The sequence below is a fragment of the Homo sapiens genome, chromosome 11, assembly GCF_000001405.40.
Source record: "Homo sapiens chromosome 11, GRCh38.p14 Primary Assembly".
NCBI lineage: Eukaryota > Metazoa > Chordata > Mammalia > Primates > Hominidae > Homo > Homo sapiens.
This window is the reverse complement of record NC_000011.10, coordinates 74,268,001-74,289,225: the sequence shown is the minus strand read 5'-3', so window position 1 is coordinate 74,289,225 and position 21,225 is coordinate 74,268,001. Positions and strand designations below refer to the sequence as shown.

At 42.2% G+C, this 21,225-nt stretch overlaps 1 protein-coding gene across 8 annotated transcripts in view; it reads left to right on the top strand.

The window, feature by feature from the left end:
- P4HA3 (prolyl 4-hydroxylase subunit alpha 3) overlaps positions 1-21,225 on the top strand; it is a 61,495-nt gene that overhangs the window by 22,415 nt on the left and 17,855 nt on the right. For 5 of the 8 annotated variants that reach the window (XR_007062475.1, XR_001747837.2, XR_001747838.2 and 2 more), the window contains 8 exons: positions 96-147; positions 2,835-2,998; positions 3,241-3,417; positions 9,774-9,838; positions 12,082-12,241; positions 15,619-15,681; positions 19,506-19,574; positions 20,985-21,081. Coding sequence is in view for 3 of the 8 variants with exons in the window: in NM_182904.5 (NP_878907.1) it covers positions 96-147; positions 2,835-2,998; positions 3,241-3,417; positions 9,774-9,838; positions 12,082-12,241; positions 15,619-15,681; positions 19,506-19,574; positions 20,985-21,081 (847 nt within the window). In the remaining 5 variants the exon portion in view is untranslated. Of the gene's footprint in view, positions 1-95; positions 148-2,834; positions 2,999-3,240; positions 3,418-9,773; positions 9,839-12,081; positions 12,242-15,618; positions 15,682-19,505; positions 19,575-20,984; positions 21,082-21,225 lie in introns of those variants that run through there. The other 3 variants (NM_001288748.2, NR_110031.2, XM_047426802.1) reach the window with 3 other exon arrangements.

The following is a 21,225-nucleotide window of genomic DNA, read 5'->3' as shown; positions in this document are numbered from 1 at the left end:
ATTTTATCTTTTTTTTTTTTTAATTTAATGGTTTGTTCAGAAGAGATATCCTCAGTGAAGTTAATGCTTTCTTTTCTTTTTTTTTTTTTTAACAGGCAGGAAATGTTTCGTGTGCCCTCAGCCTCTCTCGGGAGTTTCTTCTCTACAGTACGTAATGGATAAAAGATAAGCCAGCCACAGGTCTGATTTACGGGGAACTCCCTTCTGCTCCTGGCCTTTAATTCCTGCAAGAGAAATACAGCTATCTATCTTTATTATCTTTTTTTTTTTTTTTTTTGAGATGGCATCTCCCTCTGTCACCCAGGCTGGAGTGCAGTGGCGCGATCTCTGCTCACTGCAACCTCTGCCTCCTGGGTTCAAGTGATTCTCCTGCCTCAGCCTCCCGAGTAGCTGGGATTACAGGCGCCCACCACCACACCTGGCTAATTTTTGTATTTTTAGTAGAGACTGGGTTTCACCACGTTGGCCAGGCTGGTCTCAAACTCCTAACCTCAAGTGGTCCCCCAACCTCGGGCTCCCAATGTGCTAGGATTACAGGCATGAGCCACTGTGCCTGGCCCTATCTTTATTATCTTAATTTCATAATCCAGGTCACATTTCAAATTTTGGTGAAATCTTACATGCTGTTCAATGCATCAGGGGGAAATTTTTAAGTTAGTTGGAAAATGCTGAGAAGATATCAACCTGTCCCTTCCTTCTTCCAACCAATCAATGATATATTAGTGTTGCTTCAATGGGAAAAAGTCCAGGAGTGGGAGCCAGTTTCTTCAGAGACATTTTAAAGACCCAGATTTTGGAAGCAGACCCAAGAATGAATGAAATCAGTGTGCACTATGTACGCAAGAAGGAAAGTGACTCAGCAGGATTGCTCACTTCAGCTGCTCACAGGGAGATATCAGTTTTTCCCCTTAAATCAGGTCTCACTCTGTGATGCATGCATCCTGCCCAGCCAGTAGGTCACAGAATTCAGCATCACCCCCCTTCAGGGAGTCTCTTGCTGACAATAAAATGAGTTAAACAGGAGGGAGATGCTTCCTAACTCAGGTATCTGCTTGGAAATGTTTGCCTCAAAGTTATATGTATGTATTTGCTTAACATTTTAGTGGTAGATAGCTTCCTAGGTTTTTCTTTAATACAGTATTTATTTGTTTTGTTTTGCTTTTGCTTTTAGGGGTGTGGTTTTTTTGTTTGTTTGTTGGTTTTGTTTTTTGAGACAGAGTCTCATTCTGTCACCCAGGCTGGAGTGCAATGGCATAATCTTGGCTCACTATAGCCTCTGCCTCCCAGGTTCAAGTGATTCTTGTTCCTCAGCTCCCAAGTAGCTGGGATTACAGCCATGTGCCACCATGCCCAGCTAATTTTTATATTTTTAGCAGAGATGGGGTTCTGCCATGTTGGCCAGGCTGGTCTCAAACTCCTGGCCTCAAGTGTTCCACCTGCCTCAGCCTCCCAAAATGCTGGGATTACAGGCATGAGTATTTAGTATTTAGATACTACAATGAGATACAAAATCACTATTTTGTTTTAATATTTATAAAGTATTTCATGTAGGACTTTATAATTGCATGTATACAAAACTTTTTAATGAATCCATTTAGTAACATTATTCCCTTCTGATAATTAGCAAACAATAGGATAAGGAAGTAGCTGTGTATCTACAAACACATGAGTAATTAGTGGTACAAACAAAATTATAATCCAACCCTTCTTTATTTATTTGCACTTGATCTATTAAAATCTTTGCTATCCACTCAAATTTTGTGCTTTTATAGGTGGATAATAGAACATGGCAAGTTGAGATTCCCAGTTTTATTTCCGGCTTTGCAATATTTTCACTGGGGTTTGGGCTTATAATTTCCATTCTCCAAAACTTCACTTCTTCTCTTGTTAAAACAGAATGGTAATTTCTGCCCCTTCCTTTCCTCCTTTGCCAGGGTGATGGTTGTGGTTAGAAGCACACTGGGCTCCTCAGAGAAAGATGCTTTGGGAGCATTAGAACAATTCAGCATCTCCTTCTGAGATGCATTGAGAGTCATGCAAAGAGGCCAGCAGGCCACGGGTAGCTCTGCCAATGCATGGGGCATCTTGCAGCCAAAGTGGGTACAAACAGGTGGGCACAAACAAGACACAAGATTTATTGGGTTTCCCAAGGGCCCTGTGGGAATCCAGTCTAGAGCCAAAGTCTAGAGTCCCTCTGCGCCATACTTCTTTGCTCTGGGTCTAGGCCAGTTAGGAGATTTGAAAGATCTAGTGGAGCCAAGAATGAATTAGCTTCCAATTCTCTGGGGAAGAATAGGTTGGGTCCTTTTGCAATAGGCTTTGGCTTTCTGGACTTCTCTTTCATTGCACTTATCATATTTTGTTGTAAGTGATAATTTAATGTCCTTTTTCTCCATTAGACTCTAAACTCTGAGAGGTCAACCTGTAGCACAGTATCTGGTACATAGTAGATGTTCACTGAAGATTTACTGAATGGATGGGTGAAAGAATGAATGAATGAATGAGGCTTCATCTTCGCCATATATACCATCACAGTATCCCAGAGCAGCCATCTTCATGATCCCTTGGCCTAAGAGTTTTAAGTTCCACTTTGCTTCCCAAAACCCTTTGCACCTTCAGATCTACCAGGATCAAGTCAGTCTTTTAAAAAAATACCAGGTAGTCTTCTGGGAGTGAGGGCCTTGCATCCTCCTGTGTGTTGACATGAGGAGTTATTCAGGAGATCCACTTGCCCATCCTGTGCAGCAGTGAAGCTGGAGGAAACCTTGGTGGCACTCCCTGGGGCCAGTATTTGTTAATCCCTATTTTATATTCCCTGCTCTGATTTCTTCCAGGCCCAGATAATAAGAGGATGGCCAGGAATGTCTTGAAATATGAAAGGCTCTTGGCAGAGAGCCCCAACCACGTGGTAGCTGAGGCTGTCATCCAGAGGCCCAATATACCCCACCTGCAGACCAGAGACACCTACGAGGGGCTATGTCAGACCCTGGGTTCCCAGGTAGGATTCCTCAGGGAAAGAGAAAGGGGGAGAGGCCTGGCTAGAGTTTGAGAAGCTAGAATTGGGATAACATGAGGGGATAGAGCTGATGCATTAAAAACAATAAAGCTCACTTGGGCAGCATCAGAGTGACCACATTCTGTATCTCTTGCATTCCAATTTTTTTATGCCATAGTTCCCCTAAGTTGAGTTTTGCTCCTAGACCCTTCTTCTCTTATGCTCATCCTATTCTTTCCTTCCAGCCCACTCTCTACCAGATCCCTAGCCTCTACTGTTCCTATGAGACCAATTCCAACGCCTACCTGCTGCTCCAGCCCATCCGGAAGGAGGTCATCCACCTGGAGCCCTACATTGCTCTCTACCATGACTTCGTCAGTGACTCAGAGGCTCAGAAAATTAGAGAACTTGCAGAACCATGGGTGAGTGTCCTGAGAACCCGCCAAGAATTTCTCTTTCATCTTCACATGCCTGGAGTTCAGGAGTGTAAGAATAGGCAACCTGAACAACTAGACACCTCAAAGAGCCAAGGAGTTCAGAATGCCAACCATTCCATAAAACTAGTCCATGGTGGAAAAAAATCACAATAGTGCTTGCCTCTAGAGGGAAAGGATTAACTGGATGATGTACAAGAGGATTCTCTGGGGTATTGAAAATGTGCTCTCAATATCTTGTTAGGGACGTGGTACATGTGGCTGTATGCATTTGTCAAAACTCACCAAATGGTCCACTTGAGACCTGTGTATATCATTGTATGTAAGTTTAACCTAAAAAAAGACAAATAAAAAAGAACACTTCAAAAGTGTCAACCATTCTATGTAATTGGTAGAGGTGGGGAAAAGGGTGAAATGACAGCGGCAAGGAGTAAAATCCTAGCACAAATTTACAGAGTTAGAGTAGAAAGCTAAACTTCATTATTTTGTTAAAAAGGAAACCGAGGCCCAGAGAGGGGAAGGGACTTGTTAAGCTCATACATGTAGCTAGAGCCACAGCTAGAACTTAGAGGTACAGTAGTCCCCCTTATTTGCAATTTTACTTTCTGTGGTTTCAGTTATTCTCAGTGTAGTACAATAAGATATTTTGAGAGAGAGAGGTCATTTTCCCATAATTTTATTACAGTATATTATTATTATTATATTTTATTGTTAATCTCTGTGCCTCATTTATGAATTATAAATTATAACATATAATTATAAATTAAACTTTGTAATTCAGTTACAATCATTATTATAATTTCGTTATAAAAAGAACCAAAGGAGGCCAGAATGATCAGGGCTAGCGGGCCCAACGAAGGTGCAGGGCTTCAACTGAGTCTCCAAAGATGGGCAGAATGTGGCGAGAAGTGTTGAGTGAGTGTGCTTTGGGAAAGGGACAGTGACTAGGAAGCAGATATTCAACACAAGCCACTGAGGCATCTGTCTTCAGTTTCCATGGGGGAGCCACTACCATGTGAGCCCAGGGCTGATTCCTGGGAGAGCCACAAACCAGACAGGCATCAGCAGCCCCAGAGAGATGCTTCTAGGGGAAGGAAGTGTGCCAAGGTCTGTGCATGCCAAATGGACGACACGGCCATGAATGACTAAATAGACATCTCTGGGTGGGTCACTTCTCCCATTACCATGGCAACAGGGCTGTTTTAAGGAAAAATTTAGTTATAATGTAATTATGATTATAATTAAATTACAATCATGATTAAATTAAATTACAATCATGATTAGATTAAATTTTGATTGAAGCCATCCCACTGTCTTCACTTGGAGACCCAGCCTGACAGAGCAGCCTCTGTATGGGACATTGCCAGTCTCATGGAAGAGGAAAAAGACAAATGGCAAACATGAGCTGGTTCATAAAGCTTCTGCATGGAAGTGCCAGATGTTACTTCCACCCATGTTTCACTGGTCAGAGCAAAGCATGTGGGCACTACTGCAGTTAACAGCAAGGTTCTAATTCTTCCACAGGGAAAGCACTGCAAGTCACCAAGCCAAGCTGGATGTCAATGGGAAGAGGACATTTAATCCTCCCCCTAGGAAGTGTGCTAAATATTAACAAGAAAAAATGCACCTCTATAAGCATGTTGCCTCTTTAAAGATATTGTCTCAGAATTATTTCTGTCAAGCCAGACATTGTGCCCTTAACATGTGCAGTTCATCCAGGCAGCCATTAGTCATTCGTCAACAGAATAGAGCCCACTGTGTGCCAGACACTGGCCTGGGTGCTGGGCTTTTACAGTGAGATGAAGTATTGGTTCTTTCCTCTTGGAAACTTAGTGCACAATGGAGAAAAACAAATATTTACACTACACTATGATACATGCTATCATAGAGGTGTGGGCAGAGAGTTGTGCTATGCACATAAAAAAGCAAGGCTTCCTCTAAAGAAAAGGCAATTGGGTGAAGAAGAGATGGGGAAGGGAGGAAGAATCAGGGAAGGCTTCACTGTGGAGGTGACATCTATCAGAGAAAGAAGGTAGCAAAGGGTATTCCAGAAAGACAAAACAGTATGTGCAAGGGCCTGATATGTGGTATGTTCAGAGACTGGGCAGAAGCTTGGTGGCTGAAGTGTGCAAGGGATGGGGGCGAGAGGTGATAGGAAATGAAGCTAGATGTGAGACACCATTAGCAGATGCTATAAATGCCATGCCGGGGAGTTTGGATTTTATCCTGTAGGCAGCAGGAGAGCTGTTGGACAGTTTTAATGGGAGAGTTGCATGATCATGTCTGATTTTTAAGGAAGACTGTAACAGCAGACATGGATTGGAGGGAGAAGAGGGGCAATCATCATTTCATCTAAAAGCCCCTCCAGGAAAGTCTAGAATCTTTGCACAGAAGCTTTTTGAGATAATTAAGCCCCACTGGTGAATTGGAGCAAACAGGTTCAGCTTTGCAGTGAGCCAGCAGTAGTAGCTTTTGGCCAGCAGCTGCTTTTTCCTTATAACAGCCCTGTTGCCATGGTAACGGGAGAAGTGACCCACCCAGAGACGTTGATTTAAATGTTCATGGCCATGTCGTCCATTTAGCATGCACAGATCTTGGCACACTTCCTTCCCCTAGAAGTGTCTCTCTGGGGCTGCTGATGCCTGTCTGGTCTGTGGCTCTCCCAGGAATCAGCCCTGGACTGACATGGTAGTGGCTTCCCCATGGGAACTGAAGACAGATGCCTCAGTGGCTTGTGTTGAATATCTCTGCTTCCTAGTCACTGTCCCTTTCCCAAAGCACACTCACTCATCACTTCTCTCTCTCACCACATCCTGCCCATCTTTGAAGACTCAGTTGAAGCCCTGCACCTTCGCTGGGCCCGCTAGCCCTGATCATTCTGGCCTCCTTTGGTTCTTTTTCAGAGCACTTTTTGGAGCCATATACAATTACCTATTCCTCCTCTGAACTCTAAGCTTTTTCTCACTGGTTGTTTGGTACTTAATTTTTAAATGTATTCTGCCATTTATGTGTTGTTTGACATCACTGACAGTTTCCTGGGTCAGCATCCTGTCTCCCCAGTCAGACTGTAAACTAGCAGGCATCATCTTTCTGCAAATGCCTTGCCCCATGTTCTTCCCATTGCTGCCAGAGTAAATCTTTAAAAGGTCAGGTCTGACCACTCAAGCCCTTGCTGAAACTCTTCACTGGGTCACTTTTGCCTTTGAGTGCTTACAAGTCTCCATGGCCTGGCTGCTGCCAACCCCTTCTACCACATCTCCCCCGGCACTTGACGCTCCAGCTGCACACTCTTCTGTCTGCCTGGAACGAACTGCCCTTGACTTCTCACCTGTATGATTCCAGTGTGTCTTGTGGACATCCTGGAAAGACTCCCTGTCCCTCATAAGAATGGGCTATGTGTCCCTCTTTCTATTGCCATGGCATTCTATACTTGCCTATTATGGCCCCATTAGATGTCTTAGGGGCAGGGACATTGTCTGGATTAACATTGTTTTTCCAGTGCCTAGCACAGTGCTTAGCACAGAGAACAACCAATAAATATTTGTTCCAAAAAACGAGTGACTGGTAGGTAGACAATTAATGATTGTTACAGGAAATAAATATAAGGTGACTCCTTAATTTGGGATGGGGGGGATTCCTTAGGGTTTTTTTTTGTTTTTTTTTTTTAAACCATTGATTTTGCCCTAAAAGAACAGAAGGGAGCATCTCTCTTCTATGAGTTTCTCCTCTACAAATGGCTCAGGACAGGACACCAGGGACAATGGATGGAGGCAACATCAATCCCCTTCTGATTTCCTGCTTCCTAAGATTGTAGAGCCACATGTGAGAGGAACTCGCAAGCACATGTTGTTCATAAGCTGCATTTTATTTATTTTTTATTTTTTTGTCCCAAACTTTTATTATTATTATTATTATTATTATTATTATACTTTAAGTTTTAGGGTACATGTGCACATTGTGCAGGTTAGTTACATACGTATACATGTGCCATGCTGGTGCGCTGCACCCACTAACTCGTCATCTAGCATTAGGTATATCTCCCAATGCTATCCCTCCCACCTCCCTCCACCCCACAACAGTCCCCAGAGTATGATGTTCCCCTTCCTGTGTCCATGTGATCTCATTGTTCAATTCCCACCTATGAGTGAGAATATGTGGTGTTTGGTTTTTTGTTCTTGTGATAGCTTACTGAGAATGATGATTTCCAATTTCATCCATGTCCCTACAAAGGACATGAACTCATCATTTTTTATGGCTGCATAGTATTCCATGGTGTATATGTGCCACATTTTCTTAATCCAGTCTATCATTGTTGGACATTTAGGTTGGTTCCAAGTCTTTGCTATTGTGAATAATGCCGCAATAAACATACGTGTGCATGTGTCTTTATAGCAGCATGATTTGTAGTCCTTTGGGTATATACCCAGTAATGGGATGGCTGGGTCAAATGGTATTTCTAGTTCTAGATCCCTGAGGAATTGCCACACTGACTTCCACAATGGTTGAACTAGTTTACAGTCCCACCAACAGTGTAAAAGTGTTCCTATTTCTCCACATCCTCTCCAGCACCTGTTGTTTCCTGACTTTTTAATGATTGCCATTCTAACTGGTGTGAGATGGTAACTCATTGTGGTTTTGATTTGCATTTCTCTGATGGCCAGTAATGGTGAGCATTTTTTCATGTGTTTTTTGGCTGCATAAATGTCTTCTTTTGAGAAGTGTCTGTTCATGTCCTTCGCCCACTTTTTGATGGGGTTGTTTTTTTCTTGTAAATTTGTTTGAGTTCATTGTAGATTCTGGATATTAGCCCTTTGTCAGATGAGTAGGTTGCAAAAATTTTCTCCCATTTTGTAGGTTGCCTGTTCACTCTGATGGTAGTTTCTTTTGCTGTGCAGAATTTAGATGGGGAAACAGGCCCAAGGAAAGGAAGAGGCTTTTCCAAGACTGTCTATCTGGTTTAGCAGGAGGGACAATGACATTATGGAAGCTTCAGAGAAGGGAAAGAGCTTCTGTCTGTGTAGCTCATTGCCCCAGGCACTGCTCTGCCTGCCTGTGAAGCACCAGAGCTGGGTCTGAGCCCTGTGAGTACCTTTAAGGGCAGTGCCCTATTTCATTCATTTGTTTATTTAACCAGTACTAAGCACCTACTCCACCACCAGGTGTTGAATGGACCCTGGGGATACAGCACTGAAAAAAGGCCAAGTCCTTGCCCTCATGAGCTGACATTCTGATGACAGAGGCAGAAGTAGACATGTTTACCCTCATATAAATAAATAATATTTCTCTTTCTGTCCCTGGATTTTGCAATTAGGAGACACTTTATTTAAAAATAATTTAGGCCCGGTATGGTGGCTCATTCCTGTAATCCCAGCACTTTGGGAGGCCGAGGTGGGAGGATCCCTTGAGACCAGAAGTTCAAGACCAGCCTGGGCAACAAAACAAGACCCCGTATCTACAAAAACATTTTTTTTTTAAATTAGCCAGGTTTGGTGGCATGTGCCTATGGTCCCAGCTATTTGGGAGGCTGAGGTGGGAGGATTGCTTGAGTCTAGGAGTTGGAGGCTGTAGTGAGCTATGATCGTACTAGTGCACTCCAGCCTGGGCAACAGAGCAAGACCCTGTCTCTAAAGATAATAATAATAATAATTTAAATGCTATACCTAGACATTCAGAACAAAAGAGAGGCATTTAGTTAAACTAGTGTTATCAAAACTGTTGTTGTCTTTTCATAATCAAGGCAGTTGCAGCTATGAAAATCTCACAAGTACCCTCAACATCTGTAACTATTATATATCAATTTTTTAAAAAAGTGGTTGTAGCAAAAACAGACTCTGATTCTCTGTAAGGAAAGGCTTTCATTAGAATATTCAAAAGGAGCAGGCTGCCTCTGAGTGTAGAGAGTTTCCTGTTGCTGGAGGTGTTCATTTAATTCGACAAACACTTACGAAGTGCTTACCATAGGTCAGGCCCTGTGCCTGACCCTGGGAAACAAAGACGAATGAGAAATAGCCCCTGTTCTTACCTAACTCACAGTCTTACAGATACAAAAGGGATTCAAATAACAGTTAAATTCAACTCAGCAAACTTTTATTGAGTGCTTACTGTCGACTAGACACAGTGTTAAAGGTTATTTTCAACTCTACGATCTTTGGTCACTTATGATCTTTTATTTTCAGGATTGATAGCTGTCACTAAATTAGTCCCACATGCAAAATGTCCTCTAATTAAGGAGGAACTGGCATCTGTTATGTTGATGCTTAAGAGAGAAATATGTCTGTGGAAGTGACAAAACTTTCCTTTTGCATCATAACCACTTGGACTTTGTCTTACATTCTTCCCACCAGCTACAGAGGTCAGTGGTGGCATCAGGGGAGAAGCAGTTACAAGTGGAGTACCGCATCAGCAAAAGGTAAGAAGGGCCCTTCCTTGGTCATACCTGCTGCCCACCCTCGGGCCGTAGCATAGCTGACTGCCAGTCAGCAACAGCCATTCAGGGACCTCCAGAGGTGGAGAATCCCTAGTTCACGTTTATAGCTGTACATTCTTTTTAAGAGGGTGAAGTTTCCACTCCCCTTTCCCAGGTTGTTAGATCATCTGAGGGTTTAACTAGAAGGCCATTCGAGAGAGACTTGGAAGAGCTCCTCTGCCCTAAACCAAAAAATATGTCTATAGTTGTTCTCCTAAACAGGATTGCTTTTCCAGAAGATACAGTCCTGTCCACATTTGTAATTTAACTTTACAAGATTCCATTCCCACCTCCTGACTCATATTGAAAGCATGACTTGCCAAGAATGAGACCAGAAGGACAAATAGACTCTGGCCCTGATGGCTTCTGTAGAGGAGCAGATTCAGCTGTGAGAGCCCAGCTTTATCCCACCCCTCCAGCCCTGCCCACCCCCCACTGCAGCCCTTTACTTACATCCACCAAAGACATGTGAGACAGTGACGTCAGCATCCTTGGGGGGAGGCCAGACCTCAGGATGGAGATCAGTTTGTGCTGTCTGGGAAGGGAGGTGAGTGATGAAAGCTGTGATTCAGAATCATTTGGCTTAACTTACTTGGTCTGGTACATTAAGGGCCTTTCATATTAGTAGTTATTCTCTAACCTATGGAAGGTCCCTATGACCTCAGCCTCATTGCTTTTTCTAACCTTTCTGATATTCTAGTGTCAGAGAGAAAATTCAGCCTTGGGTTAATTGCTTCCAGGGGAGCAGGTGGTATTTTCTTCCCTTTTCCGAACAAGAAACTACTTTCTTTCTCCACTTGCATCACTCTTCAACTCTTTGACTTTTGGTTCTGTCCTCACAACTTCGCTGGAGCTGGTCTCCCAAAGGTCACCAGGGAACTTCTAATTGCCAAATCATTTTCCTGCTCACACACCTTCACTGAGTACCCATTATCCATAAAGTCCAGATTCCATATCACAGTGTTTTCAGTTTTCTATGTCATGCCCTGAGCCTGCTTCTCCAGCTGTATCTCCCGTTACTTCTTCCTATCTCCTTATTCATAATTTATTGCCACACCTCCATGTCTGTGCTTATGCTGTTTCTTCAGGCTGGAATACTCCTACATCTTTTCCATCTATTGAAATTTTATGCACTCTTCAAAATTTGGCTTAAATGTCACTATCTTACCTGAGTGCCCCACTGGAATGAACTTCTCCTTCCTCTGTGCTTCCCAGCACTTTAAAGTCTGTTTCTCAATTTTTCACTGTACCTTACTTTGTTCTTAGTTATATTTGTGTTTGTCCTTTCCCCCATAATCCATGAGCTCTTAGAAGGCAATAGCTCTGTCTTGGGGATCTCTGTAACCTAAGAGCATGTGGCATAGCACTCTGCTTGCACTCTATTTGAAAGAATGAACACACTAATCCATCAAAAGCAAAGAGCAAAGAAATGGTCTTCCATATCATGCCAAGGCTGTTCCCTCAGAGCCTTATCGTCTCCCCAGGAGACCCACTGGCTTTAGGGAGCACTTTCTCACTTCCCAGGGACGTAAATTCTGATTCCAAAGTTGCCACTTTGTCAGAACCTCAACAAGACATTCAGGAAAAGAGACTGAACTCTGCTGTTTGGCCTTTGCCCTATCCTGGCTTGTCTTGCAGTAGAGCAGAGATTTTCCTGTGTTTAAAAGTAACACTAATGTATAGTTCACAAAGTGTCTTCATAAGCATTGCCTCTCACAATCTTTATAAGTCTGTGAAGTAGATATTATTATCATCCCAATTTTATAGACAACACACTGACCCTTAGAGAGGTTAATGGTTAAATACTTGACTTAGGATCACAGAGGATCAGGGACTCGTCACATTTCTCTAAATCACAAGCTTTTCCCACTGTACCCGGGTCCCTCTGTTCAGATGTCTCTACACCATAGCAGCTTTGAAGGCAGGGGTTTTGTCTTATTCCTCTTTGTATCTCAATGCTGTGAGTTTGTTGAGGTAGAGAACAAAGTGGACTGGGCAGACTTAACATGAGGAATGCATAGGTAATTAGGCATTTATGTCTGTCTTCCCTCCCTCTCTTTCCTCCTTCCTTCCATCCTTCCTTCTGGCAATTAACATAATTCATTTGTTTATTCATTCATTCAGAGACGTCATTTAGTCATTTCGGGCAACAGATCATTGATGCTTCAATCTGTGGTGTGTTTTAGTGCCTGGCTGAAGGACACTGTTGACCCAAAACTGGTGACCCTCAACCACCGCATTGCTGCCCTCACAGGCCTTGATGTCCGGCCTCCCTATGCAGAGTATCTGCAGGTGGTGAACTATGGCATCGGAGGACACTATGAGCCTCACTTTGACCATGCTACGGTAATGGTGGAGTCAATGACCAATCCCCTGGGGTAGGGAGCCAGGGCATTATTTATTTCTCTGAGGCAGAGCTCTTGTAGGCTCTCAGGGAATACTAAGTGAAATCTTAGAACAAAGGTTCTTTTTCCAGAAATATCTGAAAGCCTTAGTTTCAAGCATATTGTTGCTGACTCATTTTCTTGTCTGCCACCATCTCCCTTCTAAAATTTGCTGGTGAGGGAAGAATGTGGCTTGTCATGGAATCATCGGACTGCTCCACTCAGGGACTTCCTAGTGAGGATTGTCCTTCCTCCAGTAACTCTTCTAGCCTCATGATCTCAACTGGCCATCTTTGCTGATAATAGCAAATAATTTTTTTAAAATTTTAGATTCATGGGGTACATGTGCTTGTTTTTTATTTACGTATTTATTTATGTATTTATTTTTTTCTTTATAGGCAGCATCTTGCTCTGTTGCCCAGGCTGCAGTGTAGTGGCACCATCATAGCTCACTGCAGTCTTGAACTCCTGGGCTAAGTGATCCCCCCATCTCAGCCTCCCAAGTAGCTCTAGGACTACACCTGGCTAATTTAAAAAAATTTTTTTTGTAGAGACAAGGTCCTGCTATGTTGCCCAGGCTTGTCTTGAGCTCCTGGGCTCAAGCGATCCTCCCACCTCAGTCTCCCAAAGTGCTGACATTACAGGAGTGAGCCACTGCACCCAGCCATACTTGTTATATGGGTATTGCATGTGTAATGGTGGGGACCACACTTCTAGTGTACCCATCACCCAACTATTGAATGTTTTACCTGACACGTAATTTTTGAACTCTCACTCCCCTTTCACCCTCCCCCATTTTGCAGTTTCCAGTGTTTGTTACCTCCATCTTTATGTCCATGTGTACCCATTGTTTAGCCCCCACTTATAAGTGAGGACATGCAATATCTTATCTTCTGCTTTTGAGTTAGTTCACTTAGGATAATGGCCTCCAGCTCCATCCATGTTGCTGCAGAGGAAATTATTTCATTCTTTTTATGGCTGGATAGTATTCTGTTATGTATATATACCTTATTTTCTTTATCAAATCAACCATCGATGGACATTTAGGTTGGTTCCATGACTTTGCTGTTGTGAATAGTGCTGCAATAAATATCTGGGTGCAGGTGTTTTTTCTGTAATATAATACTTTATTTTCCTTTGGGTAGATACCCAGTAGTGATTTTTGAGGATTAAAATGACCTCCCCAAAATTGATCTATAAATTGAACCCCAGCTTTATAAAAATTCCAGGAGGTTTATTTTTGTAGAAATTAGCATGCTGATCCTAAAATGTATATGGAAATGCAAAAAACCTAGAGCAGCCAAAACAATTTTGAAAAAGAAGAACAAATTGGAGGACATACACTATCTGATCTCAAAACTTAATATAGAGCTACAGGAATCAAGGCAGTGTGGTACCAGTGTAAGGAGAGACACATATGTCAATGGAACAGAACAGAGTCCAGAAACAAACCAACACATTTATGATCAATTGGTTTTGACAAAGGTGCCAAGGAAATTCAATGAAGAAAATACAATCTTTTCAATAGACAGTATTGGAACAATTTAATATCTATCTGCAAAATAATAATGACTTTACACCCTTACCTTACACCATATATGAAAATTAACACAAAATGGGTCATAGATGTAAATGTAAAACTATAAAACTTCTAGAAGAAAACATAAGAGAAAATTTTTGTGACCACAGGTTAGGCAAAGATTTCTTAGATATGACACCAAAGTATGATCCATAAAAGAAGAAAACAACTGATAAATTGGACCTTATCAAATTAAAATTCTTTGCTTTTCAAAAAACATCATTAGAAAAGGAAAAGACAAGCCACCAACTAGGAGAAAATATTTGCAAATCATATATTTGGTAAAGAACTTGTATCCAAAATATCTATAGAACTTTTATAACTCAGTAATAAGATAATTCAATTTTTTTTAATGGACAGAAAGTTATTTGAGTAGGCACCTCTCCAAAAAGGATAAATGAATGGCTAAGAAACATATGGAAAGATGCTCAACATCATTAGGGAAATGCAAATTAAAACCACAATGAGATAGCACTGCACTCTCTTATGATGGCTACAATAAAATAAGATTATACCAAGTGGTGGTGAGGATGTGGAGGAACTGAAGCTCTCATACACTGCTAGTGGGAATGCAAAATTATACAGACACTTTGGAAAAAAGTTTGATGGTTTCTTAAAAAGTTTAAGATTCACCTACTTATGATCCAGCCATTTCACACCTATGTATATTACCCAAAAGAAAAAGAAAATATGTCTCTACAAACATTTGTACAGAAAAGTTTATAGTAGCTTTATTTGTAATAACCAAGAATTGGGGCTGGGCACGGTGGCTCATGCCTGTAATCCCAGCACTTTGGGAGGCCAAGGCAGGCGGATCACGAGGTCAGAAGATCGAGACCATCCTGGCTAACACAGTGAAACCCCGTCTCTACTAAAAATACAAAAAAAAAAAAAATTAGCTGGGCATGGTGGCAGGCGCCTGTAGTCCCAGCTACTTGGGAGGCTGAGGCAGGAGAATGGCATGAACCTGGGAGGCAGAGGTTGCAGTGAGCTGAGATCACGCCACTGCACTCCAGCCTGGGCAACAGAGTGAGACTCCATCTCAAAAACAAAAAAAAAAAAACAAAAAAAAAACCAAGAATTGGAAACAGCCCAGATGTCTGTCAACAGGTGAACGGATAAACAAATTTTGATATATCTGCACAATGGAATGCTATAGAGAGAAAGCAGATAAGTGGGTTGCCTGAGGTTGGAGGTGAGAGCAGGGATTGACTCCTAACTGGCATGAAGGAGCTTTTCAGCAGATGGAAGTGTTCTGTGTTCTAAACTTCAATTGTGGGAAAACTCATTGAACAGTAGGCTTACAAGGGGTGAATTTTATGGAATATAAATCATATCTCAAACTGTTCCATGACAAAAAAAAAAGAGTATGTCTCTTCAGCAAGTAATTGGAACTCTGGCCTTATGATTTGGTATTTCTACAGAATAATTGTCTGTAATATTTTATATATTAATTTCTATATTTCACAGAGAACTCAAAGGTGCAATTAACCCCTCATATAGTACTTTCACTACTGACAAGTAGTTCTGTTTGGTAGTAGACAATTCTTTTATATAAGTATCTAATAAATTAGTAAAAAAAAAAATTGTATTGAGTACCTGCCAGCAAAGACGGGCACATACTCCAGTAGGTGTATATCAGAACTATATCCCATCTTTGATGCCCCCATTTTACTTCTATTTGTATTAATAGTGGAATCCTGCCTGTCCCTCTGGTGCCATCTGCATAAAATAATATGTTCTGTTTTTTTTTTTCTCAGTCACCAAGCAGCCCCCTCTACAGAATGAAGTCAGGAAACCGAGTTGCAACATTTATGATCTATGTGAGTATTGCTCTGGGCTTCTTACTTCATGACTGACTATAGCTCTACTTTATTTTATTGTTTTCAAAGCAATTTCACGTATTGATTTTATCTGGTACTCAGCGCAAAAATCTCCAGGAATTTTGCGAATTTCAGACAGCATTTTTGATAGGCACTGTAGGAGATGTAAAGAAATACAAGACAAGGTTTCTACCCTGAAAGAGGCTGACAGTGTGTAAATCTAAATATGACCTTGGTATGGGCAGTGGATTAGGATGGGAAGTGGAGCTCCACTGAAGGCCAAGAGATAGAGGGACTTGAACAACACAGGAGGAGGATCTGAGAATCTGTGTCCTTGAGGTCTCATGGACTAATCAGTGTTGAAAAACAACCCATAGATGAGGTTGTGGGGCTGTGGGGAGGGAGATGGATGAGGAATGAGGCAGCAGATTTACAAGAGGGAAGAACAGAGACACTGAGAGAAATTCAGCAAGTGCTGCCTCTGATGTTTAGTGAAAATTCTCTTCCTTATCTCTCTATAAAATCTTCAGTAAAATCTCCATGACTCCCCTTTCAAGATAAACCAATAAATTGTACTTCTCTCCTAATTCCTGGCCTGATCAGGATTCGGCCCCAGTCTGTATCATCTCACCTGTCCCCTTCCCTTCAGATCATGTGGGTTTACTTTCGTCTCTATGGACAAGCTTCCAATCACCTGTCACTGGAAGAGAATATTAGAATTAATCACTTATTAGAAGAGATACCTTACTGTTAACTGAAGGGACAAACATATATAAGGGTTCTATATAACAACCAAAGATGAAGTCCTTGTTTCAGCCTCATTAGAATAGCAGACATCCCTCACCCCAGCTTTTCCTCTTCTATTAGGACTGTCTCTGGTCTCCACAGGACAGCCAAGAAAGGGCAGTCAGAGGCCAGCATTCTGTGTAGTCTTTAATGCCAGCAATTCCAGTGTGTTTCTCTATGTGGCTCAGTTCTGTACTTCCTATGGAACTGGAAGGCTTCCACTTACAATGGTGTCTGGCCTCATTCTGATCATTCTGAGGTCAGCTATCAGGCAGGGGACACATCTTGGAGCTGCAGTTGGTTGCATCTCTGGTTGACCACTCCAGCTGTTATGGGAGGTCACAAACGGCGAAAGAATGAACTGCTGCCAAAAAACAGGGCATCTAGGGCACAATATATCTCTGTTCTTTATCCCCTCAATATCTCCTATGGCTGGTTCCCTGGTTACAGGGCCCCAGTTACTATAGCGAAGGTAGCGTGGGTATAAGAGCCCAGTAATTTTAAATGGCAAATGCATGTGTGTGTGTGTGTGTGTGTGTATGTGTGTGCATGCACTCTCATGCACTTTCACATGTGTGTGCATGCATGTGCATTTGGGTTTTAAGTATTTGAGACAGAGTGGAATGGAATACACTTTGGATTTGGAGTCAGTTGACCTAATCCTGATTTTGCCACTTACTATGTGGCCTCAGCACAGATTACATCTATTATGTGAGCTCACTTTTTGCCCTGTGCTTCCTCACAGTGTTGTTGTGAGGGTCTGATGAGATAATGTAAGGAGGGATGTCACTCTGGAAAGTTCCATACTGTATGTTTCTGTCATTGTATCCCACAGAGCAATTAAAGGAAAGGGTATCATAAAGGGGAATCAGTATCATGGGACCAGGGAAGTGCTAGATTATGCCCAAGTCTTTCATCTTCAGGTTGGGATTTCTCGAGACAATTTCAAGACAAACATTTCTCAAGACAAATGTTAAGGTTTGTGGGAAACCTAAGACTGATTTTATAGGGAGAAAATAATCTTTAAGAAGTACAGAGGATTGAGTTGAAGTCCAGTTGGTGATTTTCTGCTCAGATTGGACATAAGATCAGTCCCAATCTGGGTGCGGTGGTGTGCACCTGTAGTCCCCGCTACTTGGCAGGCTCAAGCAAGAAGATCGCTTGAGCCCAGCAGTTCGAGTCCAGCCTGGGTAACATAGTGAGACCCTGTCTCTATTAAAAAAAAAAGATCAGCCCCAGTACAAAATAGTAGAAGGTATACAGACGGAAGATTTCTCTCCCTTTCCCACTGTTCTTACAGCCCATGCCGTGCTCATGAGCTTCATTGCATGCAGAATCCGATTTTCTTTTTAATGTGTTGGCTATGTCATTCCTTTCCACCATATTGTAAAACCACAGGTAAAAGAATGCAGGAAAGTCCAGGTTGCCCCTTACTGACAAGGGCTAGAATAGAATAATCTAATTTGTTACCTGAACACAAGGAGCCAATTGTTGTTCTCATCGGCTTTCCCAGTGTGCTACAGGGAGAGCCAAGGAATGCTAATAGTCACCACTGCCATTTCCAGGTTCCAAATCACCATGTCAGTTCACTTGCATCTACCAAGGGCCAGCGTCCTACCTCCTATACCTCTTGCTCTGTAACACAAGTAAATGTACCGGGATCTGACTGCCATAAGATTACAGAGCATGAACCTTCTGGTAGATAATGCTAGGCAGCGTGAGGTAAAACTGGCACTCTTGTGTGATGCAACTGCTGAAAAAATAATTTAGCAAAATGTATAAGAAGTATGAAACTTATGCATGTCCTTTTGACCCCATAATACTAGTGCCAAGACTCTTTCCTATGAAAACAATCCAAAATGCAAAATGATTTTTTTTCATTAAGTTGTTCAGTGCAGTGTTGTTTATAATAGTAAACATTTGGATATGACCTAAATTTCCAAATGTGTAGCATGATGGTTATGAGCAGGGACTTTGTAGTCACATGGCACCAGCTCAGCTCAAATCCTGACTCCATCATGGAAGAGCCATGTGACCTTTTATAAAGTGCTTAAGCTCTCTGAGACTTGGTTTCTTTATCTGTAAAATGTGAAGAGTTAAAAATAATAACGATTGTAACTCCTAGGATTGTTCTGAGGAATAAATGAGATAATATATTTGCAAGGACATAGTGTAACTTTTAGCATATAGTCAGTGCCCAATAAATGTCAACTATCACTATGTAAACTATAACTTTTTTCTGGATGGTACAATGATAATTATTGTTATTTAAAAATATTTTCCTGTTTTAAAACAGTTTACAATTATTATATATTTCTGTGACAACCAGAAAAAAAGCTTCACATTAAGAAAACATATCCATAGTCCTAGAACAGACCAGTGATGAAACTCCTTAGCTTGGGTTCCCTGGAGAGGAGCAGAGTGATCTGGAGAATATGCCAAAGGTGTAATAAGTAGTTCCTATGATGCCCAGCTTTCAAGAAGAATCATAGTCTAAACTGGTTTTCAAGCCACAAGTCATGATCCATTATAGGTTGTGAGATTAATTTAGTGGTTCTGATGAGCATTTAAGAGAACCACACTAGAATAGAATAAAATAAAGTAGAGAAGATCAGAAGCTATCTCAGATATTAAGAATGTTTTATGACAATTATATTTCAGGAGGTGTGTGTGTGTATGTGTCTGTGTGTGTGTGTATGTGTGTGTGTCTTGGGTCATTATTTAAAATGTATTTTTTCCTAAGGGTCTCAGTCAAAAAGTTTGAATCTACTTATTGTAGCCCTCAATAAGGATGTTAGCTGGAAGGGAAAGAAAGGAAGAATACCAAAACATTGTCCTCTTGTGGCCCTGTAGGCAAACACCAATGCCATTGAGTAGGCTCCCGAAGTTCCTCCTGAGTTGGATGATTGTCTTTCAAGTATTTCTCTCAGAGTTGAAGAAAAGACCATGAGAAGGAATCTATGCAGATGTGACATCATATGACAGGGTAGGGAAGTCGGTGGCAGTTTTAACTCTGGCTTCTTCCTCTGGTCTTGTAGCTGAGCTCGGTGGAAGCTGGAGGAGCCACAGCCTTCATCTATGCCAACCTCAGCGTGCCTGTGGTTAGGGTGAGTGGGGCCCTGGTCCCAGAAGACGGGGTTGAGGGAGTGCAGCGCTTACCCTCTAACCTTCACGCTGTCTGTGCTTGCAAGCCCATTCCTGGGAGGAGGGCCAAAAAGAGGTCTTCCCCAATTCCCAGAATCACAGATCATCCCATAGTCTTCTTTACTACCGCACACATGCTCGTCACTTGTGCCTCTATTTGTTATTTTATTTACACTTATATTGCAAGTAGATGATTACATGTCTGTCTTCCCTGTCACAGTACAGCTCCTCAAGATAAGAGCTCTGTTTTATTTACTTTGGATCCTCTACAGCATCTAGTTCCTTCCATCATTAGTTCAGTCCACATTGAGAGCTAGAGGCACGGAGGGTGCAGAGGGAAATTCATAGCCCTTTGATCCAGGAGTTTACAGAGACGTCAGCAGGCATTATGATGTTGCAATAGGGATTTGGAAAGGATAGGCGCTGAGGAGAACTGAGTCTAAGAGGTTTGCTTCATGAATGAGTATTTCCTCCAAATTTCAGATCAGTCCAACTCCCTGGCAGCCCTTACCTAATTTAGGAATGAAATGAAGATAACTAAACGAGATCATTCCTGTAAAGCAGGTAGTACAGTGCCTGGCACATCCTGAGCATTCGATAATCAATGCCAGGTATCTCTGAATACTCAGGAGCTTGACGCCTCTTGTAGGCTTAGGAACATAGAGACTGCCAATGCATCCTGGAAAGCTCTTCATGACCTGGAGTTTTGTCTACTTTGAGGACCAAGGTTAAAGTAATTTGACTACAGGAAGTAGATACGGCAAAGAAGCCGTGTATGGGGGAAAAACATACAGGATTTAGCGTCAGAACACCTGGGCTTGAGTCCTCACTTTGCTCCTTCTTTTATTGCATTATTTAAAGCCCTGGGCCTCAAGTTCTTTGCTAGGAAACTGGGGATTATGATACTGCCTGCTCCCTGAAAGTGTTAATCATAAGTGCCTGAGGGAGGAAAAGCTTCTGAGTTAATGACATGCTTGGCTGTATGGGAATATTTTGTTCCACCTTGTGGTTTTGTTCGGTGTTTCTCCTCAGTGACCCAATGACAAATGTGCTCACCTTTCTCCCAGAACTCACCATGCTGTCTTGTTCAGGTCTGTTTTATGTCTGTTTCTTGTGAGCTCCTGGAGAGCAGAACTGGACGTAATTTGTCCCTGCAGCCCCAGGACCTGGGGTGCAGGGGACTCTGTCAGTGACCCATGCATGAAGGAGTAAATGGCAACTTATGCCATTTTGTGCCATTTTATGCATGCATTGCCCCCAGACTGCATGGAAAGGCTTCTTCAATGACATGCCTGCATTTGTCCTTAGTATGTGCTTCCCGAGGACTGAGGTTCTGGGCTGACCCTCCCTGGGGCTGGGCCCTCTTGTTTCAGAATGCAGCACTGTTTTGGTGGAACCTGCACAGGAGTGGTGAAGGGGACAGTGACACACTTCATGCTGGCTGTCCTGTCCTGGTGGGAGATAAGTGGGGTAAGTCTTGCCTTTCTGGGCATGAGAAGGGGGTACAGGGTGCAGAGTAGAGTGAAACAGGGGATGGGTGGGACCTACCACAGCCATCCCATTCCAAACGCTTCATTACAGTGCCACATTATATTGAGAAGATCAGATTATGAA